At 41.8% G+C, this 23000-nt stretch overlaps 1 protein-coding gene across 5 annotated transcripts in view; it reads left to right on the plus strand.

Annotated features, from left to right (window-relative positions):
- PCSK5 (proprotein convertase subtilisin/kexin type 5) overlaps positions 1 to 23000 on the plus strand; it is a 473167-nt gene that overhangs the window by 442329 nt on the left and 7838 nt on the right. For all 5 annotated transcript variants that reach the window (XM_047423454.1, NM_001372043.1, XM_011518769.4 and 2 more), the window contains 4 exons: positions 296 to 473; positions 6093 to 6310; positions 18691 to 18791; positions 21896 to 22082. In XM_047423454.1, coding sequence (XP_047279410.1) covers positions 296 to 473; positions 6093 to 6310; positions 18691 to 18791; positions 21896 to 22082 — 684 coding nt within the window. The remainder of the gene's footprint in view (positions 1 to 295; positions 474 to 6092; positions 6311 to 18690; positions 18792 to 21895; positions 22083 to 23000) is intronic.

The raw sequence follows: 23000 nt of genomic DNA on the forward strand, positions 1-23000 counted from the left end.
CAGATGAGATTTGGATCTCTGATGAGATGAGATGGGATCACTGATGAGATTTGGGTGGGACACAGAGCCAAACCATATCACTGACTTCTGTTTTCCTTGTATTCCTCATGGCCTTAGGGCAATTCTGTTTCTTGGACACTAATCTTATTTCCCAAACATATCCATCAGCTCACAGGATCATCCCATTCCTCCTGCAGCCCTCTCCTCCCTCCCGCCATGGTACACAAGAGGGAAAATACAGGGGAGACATGTGTCATGCTCGATGTCCAAATAGACATTTTTTCTCCCATGACAGACACAACCTGTGTGAAGGACTGCCCAGAGGGCTATTATGCCGATGAGGACAGCAACCGGTGTGCCCACTGCCACAGCTCTTGCAGGACATGTGAAGGGAGACACAGCAGGCAGTGCCACTCCTGCCGACCGGGCTGGTTCCAGCTAGGAAAAGAGTGCCTGCTCCAGTGCAGGGAAGGGTAAGTGCTCAATACATTTTCCCCCATGTAATTTCACAGCCACAGCAGATATCAACCCATTTTACAAATGAGGAAACTAAGATTCAGAACACTTATAAAACCAGGTTGAAGTCTCAGTGCTAGTAAGGAGCAAAGATGAACCAATTCACAGTAACAGAAGAGAAACAGGAGAGGCAGAGTGACCGAGTGAGTTAACACAAAGGGTCAGATTGTCAAGCCGGACTCACCTGAGCAATTGATCTTCCTCAACGACAGTCCTTACTGAAAATTCAAAGCATATTGGCAGCTGGGCACTGTGGCTCATGCCTGTAATCCCAACTACGTGGGAGGTTGAGGCTGGAGGATCACTTAAGGCAGGAGTTTGAACCAGTATGGGCAACATCTTGAGACCCCATCTGTAAAATATTAAAATAAGATTAGCTGGGCATGGTGCCATCAGGCTATAGTCCCAGCTTCTATAGAAGCTGAGGCAGGGGATGATCACTTGAACCCAGGAGTTGGAGGCTGCAGTAAGCTATGATTGCACCACTGCACTCCAGCCTCAGTGACAGAGCAAGACCTTGTTTCTAAAAATTAAAACAATTTGGCAAAGGGTCTCAGCAATCACAAGGCAGAAGCAAAGCATCCTTTCCTCAGAGAAGCCCAAGATCATTAATGGAGGTTCTTTTTCTTCACCTTCAGGACTTGTTCTGATTCAGATTTAAAATTCAGGGTCTCACATTCTCCCAACCTGCTTATGTGAGGAGAGCAGTGAGTGTGGAACATTGATTTACAAAGGAAATAGTTCCATTAACATCTCCATTTATTCCCCATTAATTCCCCAACCTGTCATGTCACCTATAAATCCACAAATTACAGGTTTTGTTATCATAAACAACGTAGACACACGCACTTGATGTATCCTTCTAAAAGCATTTCATGGATAAGGACTCTATTATTTTTCTGCTAGGAAGAACTGTTAGTGTTATCAGAAGGTCTGATTGCCAGCATATCCTTTTTCTCCCCCAGGCATTCCCAGTAAAGAGTAAAAGATTGATGATAGGCCTGTTGCTGACTCTTTCTACCCAATCAATAACCTAGAGCACTGGGAGTTTCCAGACCCAAATCAAGGGCTGTAACCTTAGACCTTCCTCAAATGCTTTCACCCAAATTGACACATCTCTTCGGTCCTATAGCAGTTACTGCTTGTTTCATTCATTTTAGTGCTATATGCTGCCTTGCATTTTGATTTATCTCATTCATTCACTTATTTATTTAACACATTTCATGATGAGTACTTTGTATGTATAAATAAGATGAGTAAAAGAAAGACTGACTGTGTTTGTTTTCACGCGGCTGATAAAGACATACCCAAAGACTGGGCAATTTACAAACTAAAGAGGTTTAATTCGACTTACAGTTCCATGTGGATGGGGAGGCCTCACAATCATGGCAGAAGGCAAGTAGGAGCAAGTCACATCTTATGTGGATAGCGGCAGGCAAAGAGAGAGAATGAGAGCCAGGCGAAACGGGTTTCTCCTTATCAAACCGTCAGATCTCGTAAGACTTATTCACAACAGCAAGAACAGCATGGGGGAAACCGCCCCTACAATCCAACCATCTCCCACAGGGTCCCTCCCACAGCACATGGGAATTATGGGAGTACAATTCAAGATGAGATTTGGGTGAGACACAGAACCAAACCATATCACTGACTTTAAGAGTTTATTCTTATTTTTATATGCCTCTTCCCAAGAAAATTATAAACTCATGGAAGAAAAACACCTCTTACGTCTTACATTTGCTTCTACAACACTCAGCACAGAGCCACACATTGGCAGCTCTTGAAAAACACCAGCCAGGCTGGGCAGGGTGGCTCACGCCTATAATCCCAGCACTTTGGGAGGCCGAGGTGGGTGGGAGGTGAGGTTAGGAGTTTGAGACCAGCCTGGCCAACAGGGTGAAACCCCATCTCTACTAAAAATACAAAAACTAGCCAGGCATGGTGGCACGTGCCTGTCATCCCAGCTACTTGGGAGGCTGAGGGAGGAGAATTGCTTGAACCCAGGAGGCCAAGGTTGCAGTGAGCCAAGATCACACCACTGCACTCCAACCTGGAGCAAGATTCTGTCTCAGAAAAGAAGAAAAACACCAGTCATATAGATCAAGGAAGAAAGGGCCCTGCCAGACAAGAACAGAGATGGATGGCCAGGTGTGGTGGCTCATGCCTGTAATTCCAGCACTTTCAAAGGCTGAGGCGGGCAGATCACTTGAGGCCAGGAGTTCACGACCAGCCTTGCCAACATGGTGAGACCCTGTCTCTATTAACAATACAAAAATTAGCAGGGTGTGCAGGCAGGCACCTGTGATCCCAGCTACTGGGGAATCTGTGGCATGAGAATTGCTTGAACCTTGGAGGTGAAGGTTTCAGTGAGCCAAGATCGCACCACTGCACTCCAGCCTGGGCAACAGAACAAGACCCTGTCTTAAAAACAAACAAACAAACAAACAAAAACAGGAATGAAGCTACCTGGCTTAGCCCTTCTGCATCACCCTAGTAAGTGTCTGAAAAGATCTGGATCCCATCTTCCTCAAATCAAGTCAGTAAACACTCTCAAACACAAAAAGGGTGCTTGATCATCCTGTGATCTAAGTAGAATGCAGACCATGGAATTAAGAAGACAATTGTTCCACAGCGTGTAAAGTTCCCCAGGGCTGGTGGGGGGAGGCACAGGTTGCCATAGATCTCTTTAATAAAGAAGAAATGGAATATTCATGAGGTATATGAGAACTCTTCCTTTAGTAAAATCAGTGTTCCACATGCTTGGCATAACCCTTGTATGTTAAATCTCTGGCTTGGAAAAGTAGGCATACACTTCTCTGCACCCTATCCCAACCCACGTAATTATTTTGGTGTTTAACTCAGAGAAGTTTCTTTAAAGCCTAGGTTACTGCTTGTGCTTATGCTCTTCAAGGCTGGGAGGCTCAAAAGATGAGTCCTCAAAGCAAGCAGTGGTGTTGTACTCTTTTAATCTGTTCCAATAAACTCTTCATTGTCTCTTTTAGCATTACTCCTTGATAATTTTAAAAACCTACTTAGAATTGATAAGCTTTCTTTCCCACAGTTCCTACTGATGCTTTTCATCTTTATAACAATCTATAATAAAAACAGTAGGTAAAAAAACTTTTGTATGCTGCTTAAGAGTTACAAAGTATTTCCACTCACAATATATCTTTACATTATGATTTGATTCTACAACAATCTCATGACGTTACTGTTAGTCTCTCCATTTTACAGATGAAGAAACTGAGGATCAGAGGGGTTAAGTGACTTGCCCAAAGTCACAGAGCTACTAATACATGGCAGAGCCAGGATTAAAAATTCTATCTTCTGACTCTAATCCTGTGTATTCCCTCTGCTCTGTGTAGATTTCACTTTTCCCTGATGGTTTCTTTTCTTGAGTCTTATGTGGGCTTTGTCAACCATTCAGCTCATCATCGCCTTGTCTCTTAGATACCTCAGTCTTACAGATTGACACATAGTAGTCATTGTTCTTCACATAACTGCAAAAAGTGAAGGAAGTCTCAAGTTACCACAAGCTGGGCCACTGAGGTTCAAGTGTGCTCACTCAGATCAGTGACAGGTGGCTAAACAGACCAAGCCTCAACATAACCTAGGCATGGTGTGAGTTTTCAGCAAGTTCATGGAGCTGAATTAGTCTACAAAAAAAAAGCCTATTGGGACCTGTAGTGTTGCACCAGAGAAAACAAAGATGAACCTTTAGGTTTCTAGGATAGGTTTAGTGGTGCTGATGTCTAGAAATACAGAGATGAATCAGATGACCTTTAGAAGTTCATCCTTAGCAAGAATTTTGTTACCCTCTTTTATCTTGCTTGCAAACCTTTGTTTGCCTTCAATTAATGCACTATTTTGTTGTAGCGTTTAACAGTTAAGCTCAAATCATATTGTCTCATTTCACTAACTGACTTTAAGCAAGTTGTCTAAATTCTCTAAGCTTCAATGTTTGCTTCTGTAAAATAAGGATAATAATACCTAAATCATAAGATTTGCTATGAGGATAAATCATAAAATTTATAATTATCACTAATATACATTAATTATTTATAATGTGCCCATCATGGTCCCCACCCCTTTCTCAGTAATTACATGTTTAATTGTAGGTACTAACATTAGTCCCATCTTATAGATGAGAAACCTGAGGCACAGAGATGTTGAGTGACTGGCCCAAGGTCATACAGCTTGTAAGTGGTATGACTGGGATTTAAAACTGTAGTCTTGTTCCAGAGGGCAAGTGCTAACTACCACACTCTAGTGTCTCATTTGTAGGTTCAATAAGGTGAAATAATGTTTATGAAGTCCCTGGAATACTATCAGGCATATTAGTAGAAACTTAATGAATAGTGGTTATAGTTATCATATTTAACTTCCAAAAATCTTTTCAAACAAGGTTATATCTATTATGTAAATGTCGATATCACACTTGTCACCTCCTATTTCAAAATTTCTTCTTTAATTGGCAAATTAGAAGAATAATTCAGAGGTACATTTATTTATTTTATGTTATCTTTTATTGTATTTTATTTATGACAGTCTCACTCTGTCACCCAGGCTAGAGTGCAGTGGTGTGCTCTCAGCTCACTCTCCTGGGTTCAAACAATTCTCATGCCTCAGCCACCCAAGTAGCTGGGACTGCACACCACATCTGGCTACTTTTGTTTGTTTGTTTGTTTGTATTTTTAGTAGAGATGAGGTTTCACCATGTTGATTGACCAGGCTGGTCTTGAACTCCTGGCTTCAAGTCATCCTCTCATCTTGGCCTCCCAAAGTGCTGGGATTACAGGTGTAAGCCACTGTACCTGGCCAGATGGATCTCTTTTTTTGAGACGGAGTCTCACATTATCGCCTAGGATGGAGTGCAGTGGCATGATCTCGGCTCACTGCAACCTCCACCACCCAGGTTCAAACGATTCTCCTGCATCAGCCTCCCAAGTAGCTGGGATTACAGGCACATGCTACCATGTCTGGCTAATTTTTGTATTTTTAGTAGAGACAGGGTTTCACCATGTTGGCCAGGCTGGTCTCAAACTTCTGACCTCAAGTGATCCACCCATGTCGGCCTCCCAAAGTGCTATAATTACAGGTGTGAGCCACTGCACCCAGCCTGGATGGATCTTTTAAATGTATCTCTGAATGGCCAGGCCAACATAGTGAGACACCCATCTCTGTTTTAAAAAAAAAAAAAGATCCTTCCATTCTCTGATCCCAGCCATTAATCACAACTTAAAGCATGAACTTGGAGAGACACATGGTAGAAAAAGGCAATGGTAGCTAGCAACGATGGAGGTGCTACTAGGTGTTATAAGCACTAGGTCTTTTCATATGTGTTAGTTACCCAGTTTAATTTTCACAAATAGTAGGGGAGGGATTGGCCCAATTTACAGGTAAGAACACTGGGAATCATTGGATTCATTAGTGTTATTAGCAATGAATCTAATGAGTAAGGTAAAGAGGCTAAAGTCACTCAGCTTGTAAATGAAACCTGACCACCATGTTTTTCCACTGCATCCAATTTAGGAGCAAAGCTTACTATTCCATCTTTTCTTCTCCTTTGGTTTCAGATATTACGCAGACAACTCCACTGGCCGGTGTGAGAGGTGCAACAGGAGCTGCAAGGGGTGCCAGGGCCCACGGCCCACAGACTGCCTGTCTTGCGATAGATTTTTCTTTCTGCTCCGCTCCAAAGGAGAGTGTCATCGCTCCTGCCCAGACCATTACTATGTAGAGCAAAGCACACAGACCTGTGAGAGATGCCATCCGACTTGTGATCAATGCAAAGGTGAGAGTCTACCTGTCATTTTGCATGAGTGCGTAGAAAAATGAAAAGGTTTTCTTCCTTATTTGCCCCTTTCTCTCTTCTCACCACCTGGGAGGTTCCTCTTGCTTCCCTACCTCGTGTGTGATCCTCTCCAGCATCAGCGCCCTCTGTTCGCTCTTAACTTCCACATCTTCCCTCTAACCTGGGCTGCTCCTGCCCATCCCCCATCCTTCAAGGCCCAGAGACAGGCATCATCTCCTTGAGGAAGTATTGTTCGTTCACTCATCATTTTCCTACTCTACCTGATGAGTCTGTCTGGGGGAATTTGTTTATTTTCATTACTCCCACTATTCCCTGAGACTTCTGCCTCAAACTCTCCCAAGCTCCATGCCTCTTTTACAGAAATCTAGTTGTCTGTCCCAGAGATCCTTAAGGCTCACCATCTACCAAGGAGTCCAGGCTGATACTTTGAAGTTCTCCTTGACTCTTCTCCTTCCCCTGTTGCCTGCCCAACCCACCCACCTCCAACAAAGCTAAACTTCAAGATCTGTTGGTACTCTTTCCCAAATAGTTATCTAATGAGATCTTTTTCATTCTCACTACCCTCATCTTCCATTCTCAGTATCTAGTATCACACCTTTTGAAGCAGCCAGCAGGTCACCCCAACTCTCAATCTTGCCCCCACACCAGGTCATCTGGTATACTAATGCCAGAGTGATTGCCTTAAAATTCAAATTTCTCATTTTTCTCTACATCTTGCCATAAATATATGAGCACCATGAATGCTTCTCAATATTTAAGAATGAAATACTTCTATATTTTAATTGTTAAAACTTTCTAGAAAAATATTATTAGCTGGTAGGATACATACCTGTTCTTTTCAAAATTATCTTGGCTATTTTTAGTTCTTTTATATAAATATGTAACCAGTCAGGTTTAATTTTTTAAAAATCTTTCATTTTTAAAAAGTATTTGGATATTGAGTAGCATTGCATTGAATTTATTTTGGAGAAAACCCCATCTTTATGATCCTGAGTTATCATATTTATGAATATGGTATAATGGTATATCTCTCCATTCTATGCATTTACTTACTACACTTCAATAAACTTTTAATAAGTGTTTTTGTTTGTTTTGAGATGGAGTCTCACTCTGTCGCCCAGGCTGGAGTGCAGTGGCGCGATCTTGGCTCACTGCAACCTCCGCCTCCCAGGATCAAGCGATTCTCCTGCCTCAGCCTCCTAAGTAGCTGGGATTACAGACGTGCACCACCACGCCTGGCTAATTTTTGTATTTTTAGTAGAGGCAGGGTTTCACCATATTGATCAGGCTGGTCTCGAACTCCTGACCTCATGATCCGCCCGCCTCAACCTCCCAAAGTGCTGGGATTACATGTGTGAGCCACCGCACCCGGCCAATAAATGTTTTTATATTTAAAAGGCTATTAAGATTTTCCCAGCAGTCCCCTTAACTTATGTCTTAAGGACTTGTCTTCCATGTATTCTAGAAGCTAGAACTACCCAGAACCACTCAGCAGCCACCAAATATGCCATGTTCTTTCATTCCTCTATTGACTCAATGCTGTAGGGAACTCTCAACTTAAAGATTCAGCTTGAGTATCATCTCATCTCCTCCATGAAGCTTTTGTTAGTCCTCCCAGGAGTATTCTTCCTCCTTAATTCTGTAATACACTGCTTTATCATGGAAATTTTACACTACATTTTAATTAAACAAGTCCATCCCTCCTACTAATTGTGAGCCCCTCAAGCAAAGGCAAGGATTATACTACATTCATTGTGTATCCCTTGTTTCTACTCTGGAGTGTAAAACATAAGTTTTCATTCAGTGTTTGTTCACTGAATGAATGACTGTATAGGTAACAAATTCCTAATGTCTTTTTGCAAATTAAAAAATGTTCAGCTATAAGATCTTCAAATAGCCAGGCGCGGTGGCTCACACCTGTAATCCCAGCACTTTGGGAGGCTGAGGTGGGCGGATCACCTGAGGTCAGGAGTTCGAGACCAGCCTGACCAACATGGTGAAACCCCATCTCTACTAAAATACTAAAATTAGCCAGGCGTAGTGGCGGGTGCCTGTAATCTCAACTACTTGGGAGGTTGAGGTGGGAGAATCGCTTGAAACCTGGAGGCAGAGGTTGCAGTGAGCCGAGATTGCGCCATTGCACTCCAGCGTGGCAACAGAACGAGACTGTCAAAAAAAAAAAAAAAAAAAACTTCAAATATTGTTTCTCCACTCTCCCCTCCAATCTCGTTTTATGGAATTTCTATTAAATGCAATTTAGAGTTTATTGATCCTTCCTTTGTATCCTACCTACTCTTTTATATTTTGCCTCTTTGACTCTATGTGAGTTATACTAGGTTAATTCTTCAGCACTCCATTTCATTCCCTGACTTGTTTTAGACTGTGTTCAGTCTAAAATCCAACCCATCTATTTTTTTTGTTTTCAATTTAAGTGACTATATTTTTACTTTTGAGAGTTCTAATTGGCCAGGTGCAGTGGCTAATACCTGTAATCCCACCACTATGGAAGGCTGAGGTGGGAGGATCACTAGAGCCCAGGAGTTCGAGACCAGCCTGGGCAACTTGGCGAAATCCTGTTTCTACAGAAAAAAAAAAAAAATACAAAAATTAGTCAGGAGTGGTGGCACACAACAGTAATCCCAGCTACTCAGGAGGCTGAGGTGGGAAGATCACTTGGGCAAGGGATGTCAAGACAGCAGTGAGCCATGATTGTGCCACTGCACTCCAGCCTGGGTGACAGAGTGAGACCATGCCTCAAAAACAAAAAAAAAGATTTCAAATTGTTTCTTCTTCTCATCCATTTTTATTTTAGATCTTTCTGTTTGTGTCTTATAATTTAACATATTTATGGATACTATGTCTTCATTTATTTATGAGCATCTTAAACATACCAATTTTAAATACTTTGTCAAATGTTTCTATGAAATCAGTATTATCTGATTTAAATTCATGTTCTAATTATTGATCATGTTTGTCATCCTTTTTTTAAACTTTATTTTATAATTAATAGAGACGATGTCTCGCCATGTTGCCCAGGCTGATCTTGAACTCCTGGGCTCAAGCAATCCTCCCATCTTGGCCACCCAAAGTGCTGGGGTTACAGGCGTGAGCCACTGCACTGGCCTGTCATCTTTCTTAGCATTCATTTTATCTATATACTTTGGAATGCTGGTCTTAAGCTCACTGTAAATGAAATATTTTGGTTTTGGTTCTTTACTCCCTCTCTCTCTTATCTTTACTTCTCACAGTCTAGAAATTTTTCCATTAACTCTAACCCTGTCTTCAACCTGAAACTCAGTCCAGAACAAGATGTTCCAGTATTCCTGGAAGTGATATTGATGACAGCATAGATCCCATCAGCAATTCAATCAGCAGCTTAGGAGAGATCTTGTCAGGAGGTGATGTCTATGAAGGCAGAGTCCCAACATGACTCCTGATTTAAGCGCTAAGCCTGGATTTTGGCTCTGGTCTTATGTAAAACACTTTTAGTTCCTATTTTGGTAGAAAAGGTGAGCTCACAGTCACCATTGCCTACTTCTAGTCCTGGAGCAGAGAAGGTGGATGGCTTGAACCTGACTACCATTTTGCATTTATATTTCCTTTATGTTCCAAAGAGATTTCATTTTCTTTGTAAGGCCATCTATCTTTATTTTGTTTTCCTCTCTTTATATTTATTCTATAATTTCATTATGTTTAAAGTAAATGGGATGTCAGAACCTGAGCTTATAAAATATTTTTTTAATGCATATGTGTCACTAATGGATAATCAGATTCTTAGAAGAGGATTGTACCCTAAATTATTGCCCAGCCTCACTCTACTAATCCAAATGCCTGGTGGGATGGCAGGAGGGATACTTAAGACTTGTGGATGAAATAAGCAAAGGCCAACCTGTTAGAGCCTGCCTCTAATCCTCTTTTTTTTTCCCCTTCCAAAATGATTCATCTTGAGGCAATATGTTGATGATATAGAAACACCAAGAATTAGGGAAAACAAGATGAGAAATCAGGTATTCCCCCACACTGGGAGAAGACCATCAGCACGTTTGCTGTCTAGCCACTGAGCTGAAATTCCTGAAAAGTATCTTGATGACATTATATTTTAAAATAACTTCTTCCCAAGTACATGTGAATATAGCCATCTCCAAGTTTAAGGTGGCTTCCAATATTACCTATGCCTTGGTGTCTCTAAATCTGCTTCTTTTCCCAAATGGTTTTCCTGAGCTCCGGTTCCATACATCCAGTTGCTGACTGAGTATCTCTGATTGGATGCTCAACAGACACCTCCAACTCCTCACCCCACTCCCAAACTACTTGTTCTGTGCTCCCTATTGGGATAAATGGCCCCACCATTCACCCAGTTGCCTGAGACAGTAACCTGGCCATTACCCTCTGCTCCTCCCCCTCTCTCAATCCCCACATTCAATTTGTTCCCAAATCCTGCCAAACCTACCCCTTAAATATCTCCTAATTCCATCTCCCCTCTCTTGGTATTCTAGTGTCACTGTCTTAGTTCAGACTCATCATTCATTGTCTGAATTGTTTACCAATTATTTATTTAATTGGTCTTCCTACCTTTAGCATTAGTCACCCTGTAATAAACCAGTCTTCCATATGCTCTTAGACTGATCTCTTTATACAACAAATATAATGATACATCTCCACTTAAAAAACAACTCTCTACTGACCTTAGGATAGAATTTTTTTTTTTTTTTTTGAGACAGAGCCTCGCTGTGTCACCTAGGCTGGCATGCGGTGGCATGATCTTGGCTCACTACAACCTCTGCTTCCTGGGTTCAAATGATTATCCTGAACCAGCCTCCCAAGTAACTGGGATTACAGGCACACACCACCGCACCTGGGTAATTTGTGTGTGTGTGTGTGTGTGTGTGTGTGTGTGTGTGTGTGTGTATTTTGAGTAGAGATGGGGTTTCACCATGTTGGCCAGGCTGATCTTGAACTCCTGACCTCAAGTGATCTGCCTGCCTCAGCCTCCCAAAGTGCTGGGATTACAGGTGTGAGCCACCAGGCCTGGCCAGGATAGAATTTTAATTTAGTATGTTTGCGTATGAGGCCCTTCAGCATAGAGCTCTTCTCATATTCAGCCTCATCTCTTACCATCTCTTCTCCCATCCTCTAATCAGGGCATAATTAGTAACTATAAACCTGAACCAACCTCACCCACTTTCCCTCTCTCTGGAATAGTTTCTCCAGCCTGCTTTGCATGGCTACCTCTTTCTGATCCATTAGAGTCATCACTTCCTCCAGAAAACCTCCCCAGACCCTTCATTCTATGTTCCCTTAGTACTCTGTGTCTTCATTCATCCATTTACTTAAGGCACAATGTTCTACAACTGTGAACAAGACAGCCAAGGTCCCCGCAGACCAGGCTAGTTTAATTTGTGTAATTGTACTTAGTGGTGTAGCAGCACTGTCCAGTAGAAATAAAATGTGATTGAAAATTTTTAGTAGTCATGTTTAAAAAAAAAAAGTATAATTAATTTTAATCATACACTTCATTTATCCAAAATATTATCATTTGAACATGTAATCTACATAAAATTACTGAGATGTTTTACATGTGTTGTACTGTCTTTGAAAGTCCAATGTTTATTTTACATGTACAGCACAACTCAAGTTGCACTAGCCATATTTCAACTGCTCAGTGGCTACCTGTGGCTAGTGGCTGCTGTATTGGACACCACAGTAATAACCTAGAGCAATGGTTTCAAATGATATTTTAGCAGTGGCCACCTTCCTCAGATAAAATCTGAGGCTGAATCCTATTAGGTAAACCAATCCAGGCAGAGCTGCTCAGGTGGGAGCAGAGGAGCCACCCCAGAACCCCATCTGATGCCTCTCCATGCTCCCCTCACCACCCACCATTCCCAGGAAGCCCCTAAAGCAACTCCATAAAAACTCTACCATATCATGGTTCCCAGTCTGTGCCCATTCACAATTGACTCCAGCACATGAAAGAATTAGCCTTCCAAACAAACTGCATTAACTACTCATTAATCTGTTATCGCTTTTTCATTCCAGAGACATATATGGTTACCACTTAAAACTTCTAACTGGAATTAGATAACAGATGAGAAAATACACTGAATTGGGGGTGGGATGGGAGTGGTGGAAAGCTGATATTATCATTGGCCATATGGTGGTAAATATTGGCTTTCTATTTGGTTTTTTGAAAAGTTGAACTTACCTCTGTTACCATCATTACTGGATGTGTGGGACCTTTATTCCAACTAGGGTTGTCTGATAAAATACTGTATTTGATTTGCGAAATCTGACGACCCTAATTCCAGCCCACTAGTGTTGTGCAGTGGGCGGCGCAGTGCAGTGGGGGCACTTGGGTCCTAATTAACATTAGACAATCATCATTAGGTAAGCTAATGTCTCTTACCGTCAACCAATCAAAACAGGACGACACCAGCCTTTGAAGATGATTGCGGGGATTAGATAAATGATTCGTGATATTGTAAGCACAGTTTGAAAAACAACAAATTTTTTTCAACTTTTATTTTAGAATTGGGGGTATATGTGCAGGTTTGTTACAAAGGTATAGTGCATGATGCTGAAGTTTGGAGTATAAATAACTGTCACCCAAGTAGTGAGAGTAGTACCCAATAAGTAGTTTTTCAACCCTTGCCCCACTCCTTCTCTCCCTGCTCTTGTATTTCCCAGTGTCTATTGTTCCCTTATTTTATTTTATTATTTTATTTTATTTTATTTTATTTTATTTTACTTTATTTTATTTTTGCAACAGAGTCTTACTCTGTCGCCCAGGCTAAAGTTCTGTCACCCAGGCTAAAGTGCAGTGATGCAATCTTGGCTCACCGCAGTTTCCGCCTGCCGGGTTCAAGGGATATTCATGCCTCAGCCTCTCAAGTAACTGAAACTAGAGGTGCATGCTACCACCCCTGGCTTATTTTCGTATTCTTTGTTTGTTTGTTTATTTGTTTTTTGAGACGGAGTCTCACTCTGTCGCCCAGGCTGGAGTGCAGTGGCGCAATCTTGGTTTACGGCAAGCTCTGCCTCCCGGGTTCACGCTATTCTCCTGACTCAGCCTCCTGAGTAGCTGGGACTACAGGCGCCTGCTGCCACGACCTGCTAATTTTTTTTAAATATTTTTAGTAGAGACGGGGTTTCACCATGTTAGACAGGATGGTCTCGATCTCCTGACCTCGTGATACACCCGCCTCAGCCTCCCAAAGTGCTGGGATTACAGACGTGAGCCACCGCGCCTGGCCTGTTTGTTTGTTTTTTGAGACAGAGTCTCGCTTTGTTGCCCAGGCTTGAGTGCAGTGGTGTGATCTCGGCTCACTGCAACCTCTGCCTCCTGGGTTCAAGCAATTCTCCTGTCTCAGCCTCCCGAGTAGCTGGGACTACAGGCGTGTGCCACCACGCCTGGCTAATTTTTGTATTTTTAGTAGAGACACGGTTTCACCATGTTGGCCAGGCTGGTCTCAAATTCCTGGTCTCAAGTGATCAGTGCACGTTGGCCTCCCAAAGTGCTGGGATTACAGGCGTGGACCACCACGCCTGGCCAAAGTCTTACATTTAAATCTTTAATCCATCTTGAGTTATCACCTATATGGTGACAGGTAGGGATCCAGTTTTATTCTTCTGCATATAGCTGTCCAGCTATCCCAGCACCATTTATTGACCAGAGATTATTTTTCCCACGTTTATTTTTGCCAACTTTGTCAAAAATCAGATGGTTGTAGGTGTGTGGCATTATTTCTGGGTTCTCTATTCTTTTCCATTGGTCTATGTGTCTGTCTTTGTACCAGTACCATGCTATTTTGGTTACTGTGGCCTTATAGTATAGAAATACTATGAATGTCTTTAGTTGGGTTTGAGATTTCCTGGGTGAATTAAGGATGATGATTTTGGGCATTCCGAGTCTCAAAAGTTCATCCACATAGTATCCTTGAGAATGTATTCAAGGGATGACTAGGAGTTAGTGGGTAAATCCTGAAGCTGTCCTGAGTGTTTGTACTTCTTCCTCCTGTATTTGACATCAACCCGTGAACTTGCCCAGTTGAAGTTTTCTGTCTTTGGTGCTCATTTTTTCTGCTATCATTATTTTTTTAATTTTAATTTTTTATTTAATGTTATTTTTTCATATAATTCTTTGCAGTGAGCAGTCCTTTCTTTACTATAGCACATATGTCCCTTGCTGGTTAGGAAAATGTTGTGCTATCATCTGGTTTTGCAACATACAGATACAAAATCTGGAGACAGGTTTTTCTCACGGGATATAAACTAGGTAGAAAAAAAGATGAATTCCTTCCTTTTTAAGTCATTAGCTCTCATAGTAAGAAATGAGGAGGCATGAAAGAATCAGAAAAAATTTAGCAACCTACATAAGAAATTACCAGCTAAATTATATTTCGTTCACTTTGGACTGCCCAATAGTTTTAGGATGTTAAAAAAGAAAAATATGTAAAAGCATGGAAGGAGGGGTGGAGCAGGAAAACATAGCATACTCAGGCTTAATATGTACCTTTCTCTGTAACTGACACCTCCATAATTAGCTCATTCCTTGCCTTCACACACCTAACTTTTTACTTATCCTCTGCATAAAATTTTATTTTTTCTATTTTTTTTTTCATTTTTGTTTTTTGATTTTGTGTTATTGTTTCTTCTCCTCATAAAATGGTTTGGAATCAAAACCCAGGCTGAGTAACCAAAGCCTCTTAACTCTCCCAAGCTGCATCTTTCTGTGTAGACTGAGGCCCATGAAGAGACCCCAGAAGTTGCTCTGCATTTGTTGAATTCATCCCATGGGGTTCAGTCTGAAGGAGAGCAGATGGTGAACTGCTCTGAGTTTTAAAGAAATGACAAAATGCCTATCTTTTAGGTCCCAGAGCTCCTGCAGAACCTTAGAAGCAATGATAGATGTAGGGTGTTAAACTTTAAAATAATAGAAAGCCTTCTGGAAATCAACAAACTGCCTTTTGCTAAAGATTCTGGGTACCCTAAGTGTGCAAGTTTTGCAATTAATTGGTGTAGGAGATGTAAATGAAGGCTGATTTGTCACCCAAAGCTGACATACAGTGCCCTTGGGTATTGCCTGGGATCTGGGCCTCAGACAATTTATTGTTGGTCTTCTAGAAAATGTAACCAAACTTGGCCAGGTGCAGTGGCTCACGACTGTAATCCCAGCACTTTGGGAGGCCAAGGTGGGCAGATAACCTGAGGTCAGGAGATCAAGACCAGCCTGGCCAACATGGTGAAACCCCATCTCTACTAACAAGAGTAAAACTCCGTCTCCAAAAATAAAAAGAAAAAAAAAAAAAAAAGAAAGAAAATGTAACCAACCTTATGGTAGGAATTTTGTGACCTAACCTAGTTATGGACTGTTCTCCCTCTTTTAGTGTTTTCTACTCTTAATTTATTTTATTGTAAATTGACAAATTATAATTATATATATTTATAGGGTACAAAGGGATGTCATGATATATGTATACAATGTGGAATAATTAAATCAAGCTAATTAACATGTCCATCAGGCCAGGCACAGTGGCTCACACCTGTAATCCCAGCACTTTGGGAGGCCAAGGTGGGCAGATCACTTGAGGTCAGGAATTTGAGACCAGCCTAGGCAACATAATGAGACCTCATCTCTACAAAAAAATAAACAAAATTTGGTCGGGTGCAGTGGCTCATGCCTGTAATCCCAGCACTTTGGGAGGCTAAGACAGGTGGATCACTTGAGGTTAGGTGTTCGAGACCAGCCTAGCCAACATGGTGAAACCTCATGTCTATTGAAAATACAAAAAAATTAGGCAAGTGTGGTGGTGCACACCTGTAGTCCCAGCTACTCAGGAGGCTGAGGTAGGAGAATTGCTTGAACCTGGGAGGCGAAGTTTGCAGTGAGCTGAGATTGCGCCACTGCACTCCAGCCTGGGTGACAAAGCAAGACTCTGTCTAAAAACAAAACTAAAGAATATATATTAGTTGGGTATGGGGTGTGTGCCTGTAATCCCAGCTACTCAGGAGGCTAAGGTAGGAGGATCACCTGAGCCCAGGAGGTCGAGGCTGCAGTGAGCCATAATTACACCAAGCCATGATTGCACCGTTGCAATATAGCCTGGGCAACAGAGCAAGATTCCACCTCAAAAAAAAAAGAAATCCATCACTTCAAATACTTAATCCTTTTTGTGGTAAGAACATCTGAAATTTACTCTCTTACCAATTTTGAAAGTACAATACATTATTGTTAATTATAGTCACCATGAGATATAATAGATCTCAAAAACATGTTCTTCCTGTCTAACTAGAACTTTATACCCTTTGACCAGCATCTCCCCAGTCCCCTCAGCCCCCCAGCCCCCAGCCTCTGGTAACCACCATTCTACTCTTTACTTCTATGAGTTCAATTGTTTTAGATTCCACATTAAAGTGAGAACATGTATCTACCCTTAATTTCTCTTCATTTAAAAAAAACTCTCTTGTATGTTAAAAATTGAAGTAAGACATCTAAGCTGTATTTTAGAAAAATGTAGAATGGGCTGGGTGTGGTGGCTCACGCCTGTAATCCCAGCACTTTGGGAGGCTGAGGTGGGAGGATCACCAGGTGATGAGATCGAGACCATCCTGGCTAACACAGTGAAACCCCGTCTCTACTAAAAACATAAAAAAAAATTAGCTGGGCGTGGTGGCGGGCTCCTGTAGTCCCAGCTACTCAGGAGGCTAAGGCAGGAGAATGGCGTCAACCCAGGAGGCGGAGTTTGCAGTGAGCCGAGATCGCGCCATTGCACTCCAGCCTGGGCGACAGAGCCAGACTCTGTCTCAAAAAAAAAAAAAAAAAAGAAAAAAGAAAAAGAAAAATGTAGAATGGGAAAAAGGAAGAATGGAAATAGGAGAAGATTGATTCTTCCATCAGAGACCACAATAACGTTCCAGAACATGTGGGAAATTCTGTATGAAGCTAGAGCTAAGATAAAAATAAAGTGGTTTTGAATTTATATCACTACAGGCAGCTTCCAACCTAAGAAGCAGTTCAGTACTAAAGGTGTTTATTCTCTAAGCTGTTGTTTGAAACTCAGAATTTATTTTTCCACAGAAACATTATAAGTGATTGAGCTCACAGTTCAGCCATGAAACGTCAATTTAACTATGTGAATGTAAATGACAGATCCATCGTTCTATTTCAAGTTCAAAAACCACCCTTTACAGGATTGTTCTGATGGGAAGACCTATACCAAGTTCCAACTTACAATACCAGGCACATTCTATGTCCATTAATCTTATGCTCCCATTTAAAAATTATCAGCAAAAATGTCCAGGACTTCCTAACAGAATGAGATAGATTTAGGTCTCCGGTCCCCAAACTTTCCAGAAGTTATTCCTTGATACCTGCATAGAATAAATGTTTGGATCAGTCCTTTTTGGGGTGTCTGAATTAGGAGATAAGAGTACTGTCTCCACAGGAAACAGGCTGCAGATTCAGACTTCTTCTATTTGGTGGCTCATGTGCTAAGGCAGATATGTGGTGGAAAGAGCACCTCAGCAAGGTGCAATTGACCTTGCATGCCTCTATAATCCCAGCTACTTGGAGGCTGAGACAAGAGGATCCCTTGAGTCCAGGAATTTGAGATCAGCCTGGACAACATAGCAAGACCCCATCTGAAAAAAAAAAAAAAGAAAGAAAGACAGATCAACGGATTATGAGTCAACAAACTTGAATTTGAATCTTGACCATCACTATGTAACCCTGGATAGGTGACATTACATGTCTGGGCCTTAGTTTTCATTTATCAATATTTTTAAAATGAGAAATAAATAAGATGTCAAATTTCTGAGAAGAGAACTTACAGCTTTCAAGAGAATTTCAAAGAAATGTATCACCATCATCACCACCCCAAAATTAAGAACCACCAAACAAAATGATCTGCTGAGTCCTTTTAGCCCTAGCATTTTAAGTGCCAAGTTTAGTGCCGTTTCTCAGTTAGAAACTGTCTATTCATGATTTATGCACTGAGTATTGCAGTCCTCCAAACACTTGGTAACATCCTCCACACTAGTTAAACAATAAGCAGAATAGCGAATAAAGGTTTTATAAACTTTCTACATGATTTCTCATTCTCTGAAACTCTTTCCTCTTGCTGTAATAAAAGATCTGTCATCCCCAAATCCTCAATTTTCAGACTGAGAGTCTACATAGATTGAACTAATTGTATAATTTCTACTTTGTGTGGGAGACTTTTTTCTTTTTCGTATCCTCAATCAATTCACCCTTCTGCTTCAATTTACTTGACATATTCCTTGTTCCTAAGTGTTCCGGAACAAAGACAGAAGTTGAAATCTAAGGTCAATCTCATAACTTAGAATGTTTTCTCTTTCAGGAAAAGGAGCGTTGAATTGTTTATCCTGTGTGTGGAGTTACCACCTCATGGGAGGGATCTGCACCTCGGACTGTCTTGTGGGGGAATACAGAGTGGGAGAGGTATGGAGGGCTGGGGGTCCTGGGCCTTCTGCTCTTTCTAGAGGGAAACATGAGCTTACTTCCTGCATGTCATTCTGGGCAATCAAAATGTCCCAAAATTCTCATACTATAGAAATAGTGTATGTTTAGTATTTTAAAACCTTCTACCGTTGCATCATGGAATAATGGTGCTACCCACCTGTAGCCTTAGCTTTACTCAAAAGGAACTGAGAAGATCTAAGATAATGGGGAAGTTAAGTCGTGAGGGCCTCGGAATGAATTCTACATTTGTTATTCATCACCATAGAAGTTTCAGTCAACATAAGAATACTATGTCAGAATACAAACTACCTTCTCTCTTACTTCTGTCTGGTCTAAGCAGAAATGTGTGAGTAACATAGGAACCACACAGCTAATGTTGGTCTTTTGCTTCCTTTACCACTTTACAGTGTATTAAGAAGAATTCATTTGCAGTGTTACAGCTCTTTAGAATTTCTGGTTTCTACCAGAAACCGCCCCCCCCTGCAATGTGAAAGAAAGGAAAGAAAGAAAGAAAGAAAGAAAGAAAGAAAGAAAGAAAGAAAGAAAGAAAGAAAGAAAGAAAGAAAGAAAGAAAGAAAGAAAGGAAGGAAAGAAAGAGAAAGAAGAGAGAGAGAGAAGGAAGGGAAGGGAGGAAGGAGAGAGAGAAAGAAAGAGAAGAAAGAAAAAGAAAGAGAAAGAAAGAGAGAGAAAGAAGAAAGAAAGAGAGAGAGAAAGAAAGAAAGAAAGAAAGAGGTAGGGAGGGAGGAAGGAAGGAGATTCATTTGCCATGGATTTTCTGAAACCATGAATTTTTTTTTTTTTTCTTTGAGACAGGGTCTCACTCTGTCACCCAGGCTGGAGTGCAGTGGCGCAATTACAGCTCATTGCAGCTTTGACCTCCTGGGCTCAGGTGATCCTCCCACCTCAGCCTCCTGAATAGCTGGGACTACCATGTCACTGGTCTACACCACTTACCCAAAGTTAGCCTTTGGGTTGGGGGTTCCCTCGCTATTGTCACTTCTGTGGTCACCAGAAAGATGCTACTGGAAAGGGGTCCCAGTCCAGACCCCAAAAGAGGGTTCTTGGATCTCACACAAGAAAGAATTCAGGGCAAATCCATAGAGTAAAGTGAAAACAAGTTTATTAAGAAAGTAGAGGGATAAAAGGATGGCTACTGCATAGACAGAGCAGCTGTGAGGGCTGCTGCTTGCCCATCTTTATGGTTATTTCTTAATGATACGCTAAACAAAGGATGGATTATTCATGACTTCCCTTTTTAGACCATATAGGGTAACTTCCTGATGTTGCCATGGCATTTGTAAACTGCCACGGCGCTGGTGGGAGTGTAGCAGTGAGAACCATCAGAGGTCACTCTCATTGCCATCTTGGTTTAGGTGGGTTTTGGCTGGCTCTTTACTGCAAGCTGTTTTATCAGCAAGGCCTTTATGATCTGTATCTTGTGCCAACCTCCTATCTCATCCTATAACTTAGAATGCCTAACCATCTAGGAATGTAGCTCAGTAAGTTTCAGCCTTATTTTACCCAGCCCCTATTCAAGATGAAGTTGCTGTGGTTGAAATGCTTCTGACCACGATGCCCAGCTAATTTTTTGTATTTTTAGTAGAGATGGGGTCTCACCATGTTGCCCAGGCTGGTCTCAAACTCCTGGGCTCAAGCCATCCACCCACCTCAGCCTCCCAAAGTGCTAGGATTACAGGTGTGAGCCACTGCGCCCGGCAAGACCACAAATTTCTTGATTATGTTTTCGAACTTTAGATAATAAGTAAATCTCCCCATGATGAAATTAACACAAACTAACATATTTACATATGAGCACTCTTTAAATTCTGGCAACAGCCGTCATTACAGTTTAGAGAAACTGAGGCTCAAAGAGGTTAAACAATTTGTTAAAGATTACAGCCTGGGCAACATGGTGAAACCCCATCTCTACAAAAAATACAAAAAAAAAAAATAGCTGGACATGGTGGCACATGCCTGTAGTCCCAGCTACTTGTGGGGCTGAAGCAGAAGGATCACTTGAATCCGATCACACCAGTGCACTCCAGTGTGGGCAAAAAAGTAAGCCCGTCTCAAAAAAAAAAATTATATGAGTGCTAAGTAACAAAGCTGGGATTAAACCTGAAGGATGAGATAATATGTGAGATGCAGGATTCAATGAGATAATAACAGCTGAGAAAGCACCTTGTCTGTGCCTGAAACATGCCAAGGTGCTCAACAAAAGCAATTTCCATTCCTTCTTCTTTTTCTGTCATACCATACTTCCAAAGTTACAGAAGTAAAATAGGAAAGCATCTTCCCTAACCCACATTTCCAGCACCAGTCAAGGAGCAACTTGTCGGGAGGGAAGCCACTTTCTTCTCATCTCTCCACTCTCTTCCCAAAGAGATTTAACTACTTGAGCTACACAGCCACAACCTATATTATTCTGCGGGCAGACCACAATAATCCAGTAACCACAGAGGCCAAGCAGGTCACTAACATAAATGCTGGGTCAAAGAAAACCACAGTGTAAGCTTGATGCTTGAAGGAAAGTGGAAATTGATGTATCACCTACATGTTGGTGACATAATAGCAAGTGCTGGGGATTATGTCAAATAGAAGAGTGGAAAGAGGGGTCATCGCCACGTGGGAGTGATGAATCCAGTGTTGACAGGTCTTCTAGTTTCTAAAGAGAAATTAGGAACAAATTTACATGTGAAATATCCCACTTTTGAGATGCGGGAAATGAATGCAAAATATTTTAAACTGAAAGTCAACAGTGTGGGCCAGACAAAACTAGTCCTTGACCTGAGCTGTCCTTGAGCACAGGAGCTGTCAGCTCCTAACCCAAACTGTTCTAGACGTCTGCTCTCCCACTGTTATTAGCAGATCTCAAAGGACAGGGCCCAGCCGTGATTCCACCCCATCACAGACAGTTGGTTCTTTCACCCAACACAGTTAAAATGGGCTTAGAACACACCATCCTTCTGCTGTCCCCCACACATCTCCCTCCTTATGAAGACAAGATGAGATACAATCTGGGAACTCCAGTGCCTTGTTAATCCCTTTACACTCAAAAGGAACCTCTTGATTGCTCTTAACAGGGAGAGAAGTTTAACTGTGAAAAATGCCACGAGAGCTGCATGGAATGCAAGGGACCAGGGGCCAAGAACTGCACCTTGTGCCCTGCCAACCTGGTGCTGCACATGGACGACAGCCACTGCCTCCACTGCTGCAACACCTCTGATCCCCCCAGTGCCCAGGAGTGCTGTGACTGCCAGGACACCACGGGTGAGGGAAGAGCAAGAGCAGCCTGCAGAGGAAGGGCATGTCCTCAAGAAGCCAATGGGAGCAGAGGGAGGGGGGGATGGAAAGTTCAGGAGAATCAATATGGCTACCTTTTTATTGAGTGCCTACTATGGGCCTACTGTACTTGAAACTTCATGACCATTGTCTCACTTCACAAGTAGGGATTATCAGTCCCATTTTACAGATGAGGAGACTGAGGCTCAAAGAGTTGGATTCGCATGCCAAGTCCATACCAATATTAAAAGTTTCATCTGGGGACTAGGCGTGGTGGCTCACGCCTGTAAATAATCCCAGCACTTTGGGAGGGTGAGGCAGACAGATGGCTTGAGTCTAGGAGCTTGAGACCAGCCTGAGCAACATGGCAAATCCCTCTCTACTAAAAATAAAAAATTAGCTGGGCGTGGTGGTGCATACCTGTAATCCCAGCTACCAGGAAGGCTGAGGTGAGAGGATCTCTTGAGCCCAGGAGGCAAAGATTGCAGTGAGCTGAGATCGCACCACTGCACTTCAGCCTGGGTGACAGAGCAAGATGCTGTCTAAATTTTTTTTTAAAAAATGGTTCATCTGGAATTAGATTTTCTGCTTGCCTCCAAGACTAGAACTCAAGTAGAGCTAGCATTTTATCTTTATGAATTTACTTTGTTCCTTTTTTTATTCTTCCCTCTTGGGAAAAAAAGAAAAGAACTAACTATCAAGGAAGCTGATGTCAATATTATCCTGATTCTGTTGAAGAATCATTCTATGAAAGTCAGCCCAAACCTAGGCCTCTCAGAGACTTATGACATTTTAGAAATGAATTTTTATTGAAGGCTAAGAAGTAAAACCCCCTTTACCAATTTCCAGTCCCTCAGCTATCCTCACGTCTAACCCCATCCATGTGGGTACTTGGTTCTCATTGGT

The sequence above is a fragment of the Homo sapiens genome, chromosome 9, assembly GCF_000001405.40.
Source record: "Homo sapiens chromosome 9, GRCh38.p14 Primary Assembly".
NCBI lineage: Eukaryota > Metazoa > Chordata > Mammalia > Primates > Hominidae > Homo > Homo sapiens.